The 11,593-nt window shown below is 40.3% G+C and overlaps 1 pseudogene; it reads left to right on the forward strand.

The window, feature by feature from the left end:
• H3P47 (H3 histone pseudogene 47) lies at positions 8,592 to 9,302 on the forward strand (annotated as a pseudogene).
• Positions 9,303 to 11,593: the final 2,291 nt, after the last annotated feature.

Genomic DNA, 11,593 nt, shown 5'->3' on the forward strand with positions numbered 1-11,593 from the left:
CTTTAAGGGAACATTGGTGGCAGCCTGGCAGCATTCCCCATGGTCCTGAGGTGGCAGTGACCATGAGGTAAGGCTCCTCTGCGTTTGGTAATGGAAGCGAAGACTGAGAAGGACTGTGTCTTGTGGTTCAAGTTCCAGCTCAGCCACAATACAATAGAATACCAGGTAGACTTCTAAGGTTCTTTACTCTAGTCCCTGACTCCCAGGCATCCATGTGCAGAAGAATGAAACTAGACCCCTATCTCTCACCAAATACAAAAATCAAATCAAAATGGATTAAAGACTTGAATCTAAGACCTCTGACTATAAAATTACTACAAGAAAACATTGGGGAAACTCACCAAGATATTGGTCTGGGCAAAGACTTGAACAATGCAGCAGAGCCACAGGCAACCAAAGCAAAAATGGATAAAGGAGATCACTTAAAATTAAAAAGCTTCTGCACAGAAAACGAAAATCAACAAAGTGAAAAGGCAACCCACAGGATGGGAGAAAATATTTCCAAACTACCCATCTGACAAGGGATTAATAACAAGAATATATAAAGCACTTGATCCAATAACAAAAAAAAAACTAATACTCTAATTAAAATATGCACAAAAGACCTGAATAGAAATTTCTCAAAAGAAGGCATACAAATGGCCAACAGGTATATGAAAAAATGCTCAACAACACTAATCATCAGAGAAATGCAAATCAAAACTACAATGAAATACCATCTCACCCCACTTAAAATGGCTTATATCCAAAAGACAGGTAATAACAAATGCTGGTTAGGAATTGCTGAAAAGGGAACACTTATACACTGGTGGTGGGAATGTAAATTAGTACAATCACTATAGCCAACAGTTTAGAGGTTCCTCAGAAAACTAAAAATAGAGCTACCATGTAATCCAGCAATCCCACTGCTGGGTATATACCCAAAAGAAAGGAAATCAGTATATCAAAGAGGTGTCTACACTCCTATGTTTGTTGCAGCACTGTTTACAATAGCTAAGATTTGGAAGCAACATAAGTGTCCATCAACAGATGAATGGATAAAGAAAATGTGGTACATATACACAATGGAGTACTATTCAGCCATAAAAAAGAATGCGATCCTGTCATTTGCAATAACATGGATGGAACTAGAGGTCATTATGTTAAGTGAAATAAGCCAGGCACAGAAAGACAAACATCACTGTTCCCACTTATTTGTGGGAGCTAAAAATCAAAACAATTGAACTCATGGAGCTATACTGAACTCATGGAGATACAGAGTAAAATAATGGTCACCAGATGCTGAGAAGGGTAGTGGGGTTTGGGCGGTGGAAATGGAGATGGTTAATGTACACAAAAAAAATAGTTAGGAAGAACAAATAAGAGTGTTGGTGGCAAAACAGGGTGATTATATTCAATAATAATTTAGTTGTACATTATAAAATAACTTAAAAAGCATAATTTGATCATTTGCAACATTAAGGATAAATGCTTTAGGTGATGGATATCCCATTTACCCTGATGTGGTTATTACATATTGTATGCCTGTGAAAAATAAAGTAAAATAGCTCATGGATAGGAAGAATCAATATCGTGAAAATGGCCATACTCCCCAAGGTAATTTATAGATTCAATGCCATCCCCATCAAGCTACCAATGACTTTCTTCACAGAATTGGAAAAAACTACTTTAAAGTTCATATGGAACCAAAAAAGAGCCCGCATTACCAAGACAATCCTAAGCCAAAAAAACAAAGCTGGAGGCATCATGCTACCTGACTTCAAACTATACTACAAGGCTACAGTAACCAAAACAGCATGGTACTGGTACCAAAACAGAGATATAGAACAATGGAACAGAACAGAACAGAGGCCTCAGAAATAATACCACACACCTAAAACCATCTGATCTTTGACAAACCTGACAAAAACAAGAAATGGGGAAAGGATTCCCTATTTAATAAATGGTGCTGCAAAAACTGGCTAGCCATATGTAGAAAGCTGAAAACGGATCCCTTCCTTACACCTTATACAAAAATTAATTCAAGATGGATTAAAAACTTAAATGTTAGACCTAAAACCATAAAAACCCTAGAAGAAAACCTAGGCGATACCATTCAAGACATAGGCATGGGCAAGGACTTCATGACTAAAACACCAAACGCAATGGCAACAAAAGCCAAAATTGACAAATGGGATCTAATTAAACTAAAGAGCTTCTGCACAGCAAAAGAAACTACCATCAGAGTGAACAAGCAACCTACAGAATGGGAGAAAATTTTTACAGTCTACCCATCTGACAAAGGGGTAATATCCAGAATCTACAAAGAACTTAAACAAATTTACAGGAAAAAATCAAACAACCCCATCAAAAAGTGGGCCAAGGATATGAACAGACACTTGAGAAGACATTTATACAACCAACAGACACATGAAAAACCACAATGAGATACCATCTCACACCAGTTAGAATGGCGATCATTAAAAAGTCAGGAAACAACAGGTGCTGGAGAGGATGTGGAGAAATAGGAACACTTTTACACTGTTGGTGGGTCTGTAAACTAGTTCAACCATTGTGGAAGACAGTGTGGCAATTCCTCGAGGATCTAGAACTAGAAATACTATTTGGCCCAGCCATCCCATTACTGGGTATATACCCAAAGGATTACAAATCATGCTGCTATGAAGACACATGCACACATATGTTTATTGCGACACTATTCACAATAGCAAAGACTTGGAACCAACCCAAATGTCCATCAGTGATAGACTGGATTAAGAAAATGTGGCACATATACACCACAGAATACTATGCAGCCATAAAAAAGGATGAGTTCATGTCCTTTGTAGGGACATGGATGAAGCTGGAAACCATCATTCTGAGCAAACTATCACAAGGACAGAAAACCAAACACCACATATTCTCACTCATAGGTGGGAACTGACCAATGAGAACACTTGGACACAGGATGGGGAACATCACACACTGAGGCCTGTCGTGGGGTGGGGGGAGGGGGGAGGGATAGCATTAGGAGATATACCTAATGTAAATGATGAATTAATGGGTGCAGCACACCAACATGGCACATGTATACCTATGTAACAAACCTGCACATTGTGCACATGTACCCTAGAACTTAAAGTATAATAAAATAAAAATAAAAATAAAAAAACAAAAATAAAGAAAAATAAAGTAAAATAGCTAAAAGAGTATAACTGAATTGTTTGTAACACAACAAAATCATAAATGCTTGAGGTGATGGATACCCCATTTACCCCGATGTGATTATTACAAATTGTATGCCTGTAAAAAATAAAATAACTAAAAGAGTATAATTGGGTTGTTTGTAACACAAAGGAAAGATAAATGCTTGAGGTGATAACACCTCATTTACCCTGATGTGATTATTACGCATGTATCAAAATATCTCATGCAACCCATATATATGTATGTGTGTGTGTGTGTATATATATGTATACATGTGTGTGTGTGTATGTATATATATATATACCTACTATGTACCCACAAAAATTAAAAAATAAAAAAGAAAGAATAGGATGTAGCTAAATAAATACACAAATAACACAAGGGAGGCAATTCCTATAATAGCTTCTTTAATTGAAAAATCTGGCCCTTCAACATCAGCTGACATAGGGCAGGAATGAGCCTGTCTTAGTGTCTCTGCCATGCCCAGTCATTGGTACATGGCTTCACTGCAAACACAGTGATGGATTTCAGAGCCCAGCAGCTGGGGCCTTTGGTCAGTTATGCTGTCATGGTTGAAGGTCTTCCAGGCCATTCTCATGGCAGCCATAATATATTTTTGTTAAGAAATTCTACCAAAGCAAAATATGGTTGAGGTAGGTATCAAAAAAAATCTGACCCCTGAAGAAACTAGATAGATCTTGGAAAATGACTGTTGACTAGTGCAAACTCAATCACAACATAGCCCCATGGTTTCATGTACATGATATACAGCTGTTGGTTTGGTAAATGCCTTCTTTCCTATCCCAGTCAGGAACCAAGATCAGAAATATTGAGGATTCATATGGAAGAGACAACAAATATTTATACTTTTGCCTTAGTACTATGTTAATTCTTACACCTCTGCCATAATGGAATCCAAAGAGATGTGGAAATGTTAACTCTTACACCCTCTGTCATAATGAAATCCAAAGAGATGTGGGTATCCCTCAGAATACTACATCGATCCCTTACATTGATTGACACCATTATGCTGATCCAACAGGATGAGCAAGATAAGACTAACATACCAAGGAGGCCTTGCTAAGACACATGCTCCAGAAGGTAGAATATAAACCCTTTAAAGATTCAGGGACCTGATACTTCAGTATAGCTGTTAGGAAGTCTATTATCAAGGGCATGCAGGAACATCTCCTCCTAAGTAAAAGACAAATGGCCAAACCTTGTAGACCCTACTATAAAGAAATAAACACAATGCCTGATGGGTCTCTTTGGGTTCTGGAGGCAACACATTTCATACCTAGGAATATTGCTCTGGCCCATATAGTGGGTAAAGCAGAAGGCTACCAGTTTTGAGTGGGGCCCAGAGCAGGAAAGGGCTCTGCAGTAGACCAAACCTATAGTGCAAGCAACCTTGCTACTTGGGCCATACATCTGGCAGACCCTATGTTCTTGGAGATTCCGGTGTTGAAAAAAATATGCAAGGTGGAATTTATGGGAGAGATGTGGGAGAATCAAAGTGCACTTTGAGTTGCCCCTGGAGTTTTAGGGCAAGGCCATGCCAAAGAACATACATATCACTTGAAAAATAGCTCCTGGCAAGCTATTAGTCCCTGATAGAGACAGAACAGTTAACCACAAAATAATGATAATGATCATGCATTTAGAAATGCCCACTATGAGCTGTGTCCTGTTAGACCCACCAAGTCTTAACATCAAGTAGGCCTAGCAGCAATCACAATAAATGTGGAAATGGTACATCCAGAACCTAGTGCAAGCTGAACCAGAAGACAGGCAAACTGCATGAGAACGTAGCCCCGACTGCCATATCACCCACTATAGCTGCTCTAGTGCCCTTCCCTCAACTCACACTGATGATCATATTGGAGGGTCCCATATGACCACCTGGAAGAGAAAGAAAACTTCCGAATTTGGTGTGTGGATGGGTTAGCTTGGGGTATGGGTGCAAGCCAAAAATGAAAAGTGGCTGCCTTACAGCCTCACTCAGGAGCAGCCTTGAAAGACAGTGTTCTTCCCAGTGTAGACTCAAGAAAAAGAAAGACAGTAAAGAGGGAAAAATGTACCCAGTGGGCAGAACTATAGGAGGTGCACCTGATCATCTATTTTGTATGAGTGGAGACATGGTCCAAGGTTAGAATAAATACAGACTTATAGCCAGTGATGAATGGCTGGGTCAGGGCCCAGAAAGAGAAAGATTGGAAAATTGGAGTAAACAGCTTCTAGGATTATTGGCATGTTGATTGACATATAGAAGTGGACACAAATTGTGACAATCTTTGTGTAAAATGTTAATGTCCATCAGAGGAGATCTACCATGAAAGAGAGACTAAACATCAAACAGTCTAAATGGTTGGCCAGTTGATGCTAACCAGCCTTCTTCATCACTCACCCCAACACTGGCAAAACAGGTTATGAAAGAAGTAGCATGGTGGTAGGGACAGGGGCTATGCATGGGCCCAAAGTATATGAACTTCCACTCACTTAGGGTGTTCTAGGTAGTTTTAAATGTCTAAAATGCCAGTAACAGTAACCAGTGCTGAAGTCCTCATATGACACAATTCCCCAAGGAGAACAATCAGCCACTTGGTAGCAAGTTTACTACAGTGGGCTGCATCTATCCTGGAAGGGCCAGCAGTTCATCCTCACAGGGCTAGATACCTATTCTGGGTATGGGTTTACTTTTCCTGCCTGTAGAACCTCACCCAGAACCTGGGAACTTATGAAATGCATGATCCACAACTATGGAATTCCACACAGCATGGCATTCAACTAGGAGACCCATGTTACAGCAAAGGAGTTATGGGAATGAGCCTATGACCATGGGATACATCGATCATATTGCATACTACACCATCCAGAAGTAGCTGACCTCACAGAAAACTAAAATGGCCTCCTAAAGGCACGGTCTCAGAGGCAACACTCAGAAGGTATGAATTAAGTCAGAGATCACCATATGATACTGTGTTCTCTACAGGAATAATAAAAGGTTCAGAAAGCAAGGAGTGGAAGCAGGAATGGCCCTACTAAGCATCACTACCAATGACCCACTGCAGAATCTTGTGTTTCTGGTCCCTTAAACTCTAAGTTTTATAGTGTTAGAGGTCCTAGTTCCCAAAGGGAGTGCACTCTTACCAAGGGACACAACAGGATACCACTCAACTACAAACTATTACTGACAACTGGACACCTGGGCTTCTTGTGACCAGCAGCCAAGAAGAGGGCTCACCATCCTATCAGGCGTAATTGACACTAATCATCAGGAGAAGGTATGGATAATATTTCACAATGAGAATAGAGAGGAGTAAGTGTGGAGTTCAGATGACCCACCTGGGTGCCTCCTGGTACTCCCCTAACCCATTGTAACTATGAATAAACATATGCAGCAAATCCAGTCTGAGAAGGGTATGGTTACCAGGGACTCTGATCTTTTAGTAATGAGGGTTTGAGTCAGACACCAGACAAGCCACCAACACCTGCCAAGTTGGTAGCTGAGAGTGAGAGGAATTTAGAATGGATAGTGGAAGAGGGAGGCAATGAGTACCAGTTGAAGCCCAAGACCAGCTGAGGTAGGGTTGGAGAGCTGTACTTTATCCCACTAACCCTTCTCTTCTAAGAAAGGCTCACAAGAGACCTGAATGAACTTCTCCATGAACATGTATGGAGAAGCGGAGCAGCATGATACAAGGGGTGGACTGCGGCAGACCTACAGATGTGTCACTCAGATCCCTCTTCAAGAAAGGACTCACTTCACAGCTGTAAGGAGAGTAATTATTTCATAGCCACCTAGCTGTTAGCACCTTCAGGATTGGCTTCAGTTCTTGGGCCAAGGTCATGCTCTTCTTGGAGCAGCCCCTAGTCAATGACTGAAAAAGGCTGTGGTGCACAGATCTAGCCATTTCTGTCCAGTGCAGATGCTTCCAATGGGAATCTGTTTCAGAATTCCCCACTGGACTGACAGAAACTTTCTCAGGTGTGCATTGAGACTGATGGTGCCTCCTGCCCAATCCTGCTTCCTTTTCAATCACAGGCGTCACTCTCTAACAAATCTCAGTGACTACTTCCCAGAAAACCCATCCTTCCTGCAACAGTCCGTTTTAAAATAACGTGCTCCATCTTTAGGAATTGTGCCCCTTGCCCCTACTCCAAATACTGGGGAAACTATGTGGCTTAAGTCACCTTGTAGTAGCAGAGGGTAAACAAGACTGCCAAGAGTAAAAGTGTTCCTTTTACTCTTCACTTTGCCTTTGACAAATATCCTGGTGAAACGCCAGGCTTCTCTAAAATGGCTCAGGCATTGAGGGTCCTACCATGGGCCTTCCTTTACTTCCAACTCCTGCCCCATACCTGACCCTCATCAGGGACCATGCCTTAATACTGGTCACTTTATTGTGGAAATAAAAAGCCCTAAAATCATCTGAGAGAAACAGTTTGCAAGTCTTAATGTGGCTTTCCTCTCTTCTATTTTCTCTGGTGGGATTACTTACAGGCATAAATATGAAAAATACATATCACATGCGATGATTCACAATTATTAAAATTAAATAAGAGGAAATCTTTGGCATTCACATTCATTTTCTTATTCGGAAGAGACATCCCATTCTACTGATTGCAATATAAATAAGTTTGGAATAATGATTGTGATATTCCATTAAACTAATGGATTCAATCTCATAAGTCATTTTTATGGATAAAATTTAACATACTGTATTAATTCCAAACAGAATACATGTGCAGTTTGTTACAGGAAACTAGATTACTACATGTAATGTCAACAGTCATTACTTCCTGGTGTTATTTACCTGATCCCAATTTCCTAGCTAATACCACTGTGTGTGTAATGAATAATGCACTGTGGAAATGTACACTGTGCAAAAACACACTATATATAGTACAGTTATTAGCGTGGACATCACCTAATAAAATAGTTTGCATTTCTTCCCTGCCTCCCACCCGCTTCCCACTATTTTTAATGTAATATATACCCGGAAGAAACACTTCAGAGGTGGGGAAGGACGTCCAAAGTGAGCAACTTTTTATAACTATTTATTTACTATTAAGATGTAAATGAGCAGACAAGTAATAACCACCCAGATCAAGCAAGAAATGGAAAGCTTTCAACACCCCCAGAAAGCTCTCTTGTGCCCCCTCACCATCTATACCTAGGAAGTAGCCACTATTTTAATTTGTATCACCACAGATTCGTTTCAAAGTGAGCAACTTTTAAAAACTGTAAATTCGGTGCTTAAAAATCTCCTAAAGCAAAGATTGAAGTTATTTGTCACTATTGCAAAAACAGGAAAAGTCCAGCACTCAGCAGTGAGGCTTAACAACAATAACTTTCAGTTTTTCAGGTGGCTGACTGGCTAGTTAAAAATTATCCAAACCTGGTGTTCGCAGGCGCCGCCGCGCCGCCGTCGCTCTCCAACGCCAGCGCCGCCTCTCGCTCGCCGAGCTCCAGCCGAAGGAGAAGGGGGGTAAGTAAGGAGGTCTCTGTACCACGGCTCCTACAAAGCGGACTGCCCGCAAACCGACCAGTGGTAAGCACCCAGGAAGCAACTGGCTACAAAAGCCGCTCGCAAGAGTGCGCCCTCTACTGGAGGGGTGAAGAAACCTCATCGTTACAGGCCTGGTACTGTGGCGCTCCGTGAAATTAGACGTTCAGAAGTCCACTGAACTTCTGATTCGCAAACTTCCCTTCCAGCGTCTGGTGCGAGAAATTGCTCAGGACTTTAAAACAGATCTGCGCTTCCAGAGCGCAGCTATCGGTGCTTTGCAGGAGGCAAGTGAGGCCTATCTGGTTGGCCTTTTTGAAGACACCAACCTGTGTGCTATCCATGCCAAACGTGTAACAATTACGCCAAAAGACATCCAGCTAGCACGCCGCATACGTGGAGAACGTGCTTAAGAATCCACTATGATGGGAAACATTTCATTCTCAAAAAAAAAAAAAAATATCTTCTTCCTGTCATTGGTAGTACTGAACGTTAGATATTTTTTTCCATGGGGTCAAAAGGTACCTAAGTATATGATTGCGAGTGGAAAAATAGGGGATAGAAATCAGGTATTGGCTGTTTTTCCATTTTCATTTGTGTGTGAATTTTTAATATAAATGCGGAGACATAAAGCATTAATGCAAGTTAAAATGTTTCGGTGAACAAGTTTCAGCGGTTCAACTTTATAATAATTATAAATAAACCTGTTAAATTTTTCTGGACAATGCCAGCATTTGGATTTTTTTAAAACAAGTAAATTTCTTATTGACGGCACAAAAAAAAATTATCCAAATCTCCAACCTTACTTCTCCCTTTAGAGTGTTTAAATCAGTAATCAGTTCCTTCGCTTTTTTTTTTTTTTTTAATCTCTGCCCTTCCTCACCCCTCCATTCTGCCTCTCTGGTCACCACTTCCTACACCAAGTGGAGTTCTGGCTTTTGAGAGTTAATCGTACACATCTCTTCTGAACTCCATATTCAGTGATGTTCAATTGGTAGCTTAAAATTGGTAGCCATGGTGGAAGTATTTACACAACAGAAAAAACTGCAAATGCTATACCTCTGGGCCCCGCTGCCCCCAGTGATGATTGCTAAATGTTTATCAGGACACCACCAGGCCACTATAATACACACACACAGACACACACACACACAATACATTCAAATTATGCCAAATGCCTCAAAGAGCTTTGGGGATTAAAAATGCTATCCAGTCACACAAAGCAAAACCAATCACAGAAGATTAGTAGGAGCAAGTTTCAACTCAGCCAGTCTTTTCAGATTCATACTAGCTTGCCACTGGTGGTGGTTTGGTTTTGCATCAAATGTCACTTTGTGAATTGGTTCTACAATATGTAAATGCATAGTAATTTCCTAATTGAGGTAAACTATTGCTAACCTCACCTGAAATATTTGCAATAGACTTAGAGACACAATAATATATTGCAGAAATAGTTGAAAATTCACTGTGTGAAACAGAATTTTAATAACTTGTCTCTGTATTACAATCTCTATCTGTTATTTATGGCTTCAGGCATATAATACTTTGTCTCCGAACCAGACAGTAAGTCCATTGGGATCAAAAATAGTGACTTCTTCTTACTTTAAATTCTTCACAGTGCCTAGCATAGTATTAGGTTTCAAGCAGATGGCAGGTAGCAATGTATTAAATTCACTGTTTCCTCTCCTATTTCCTTCTCTATTCCATCCCCCTAATCAGTTACCCTATACTTTCTTAGTTACTCCCTACCATCTCTCTAATCCACCCAGTCACACAAAACAAACCCTACCACAAAAATTAAGAAGAGTATTATAAATATTCTGTATTTCAGAAACAGAGTACGTTCATTTGACAAATATTTGAACACTAACACGAGGGGCATTGTTCTAAATATTGTAGGTACATGCAAAGATGATTTAGACACAGACTTTTACTCGAAGGAGATTCCAGGTGAAAAGAATAGATTATACACTGTCTTAGTTCATTTTCTGTTACTTATAACAGAATATACGAACTGGCTAATTTATAAAGAAAATGAATCTATTTCTTACAGTTATGGAGGCTGAGAAGTCCAACGTCAAGGGGATACATCCAGTAGCTTGTGGGGACTCTCTACAGGGTATCACATGGTAAGGGGGCTGAGTGTACTAGCTTGGGTCTCTCTTTTTAGTTTTATAAAGCCAATGGTCCCACTCCCATGATAACTCATTAATCCATTAACCCATTAATCAGTTAATCTATGAACAGATTAATCCATTCATAAGGGTGGAGCCCTCACAACTCTATCACTTCTTAAAAGCCCCACTTCTTAATACTACCACATTGGGGATTGAATTTCACCATGAGTTTTGGAGGAGACAAACATTCAAACCATAGCAGATACATATTTAAGAAACTCTGATACAAGTAGGAAAATAATCCAGATAAAATGCCATGGGAGTGTAAAGGAGGGAGAAACTACTTTCCACTAGGATAGTTTTTGGACATGCCGAGTTGGAAGTAGAGGTAGAGGAGTAAATAACCAAAGCAGGAAAGCACAGGAGCACACACCAGAAACAGCAGTTTGTCTGGAGTGTAGGATGTGGAAGGAGGAACAGCTTAAAATGAAGTTGGAAAGCGGAGGTCAGATTATATAGAATTATCAATATTTTACTAAAGAGTTTGAGCTTTACCTTTGGTCTTTGTGTTACTCAAAGTGCGCCAGATTATGTTGCAGTAAAATCCACAAAACCAATGACTTAAAACAACAATATTTATTTCTTAATCATGCTACATGTACATCATGAGTACTCTGGGGGCCCCTCTCCCTTGGATCCAGGCCAACAGAGCAGCCACCACCTGGAGCCAGAGGGACAAAGAATGGGGCAAATTGTACACGTGCTCTTAAAGCTTCTGCC

This window comes from Homo sapiens, chromosome X (genome assembly GCF_000001405.40).
Source record: "Homo sapiens chromosome X, GRCh38.p14 Primary Assembly".
Classification (NCBI taxonomy): Eukaryota; Metazoa; Chordata; class Mammalia; order Primates; family Hominidae; genus Homo; species Homo sapiens.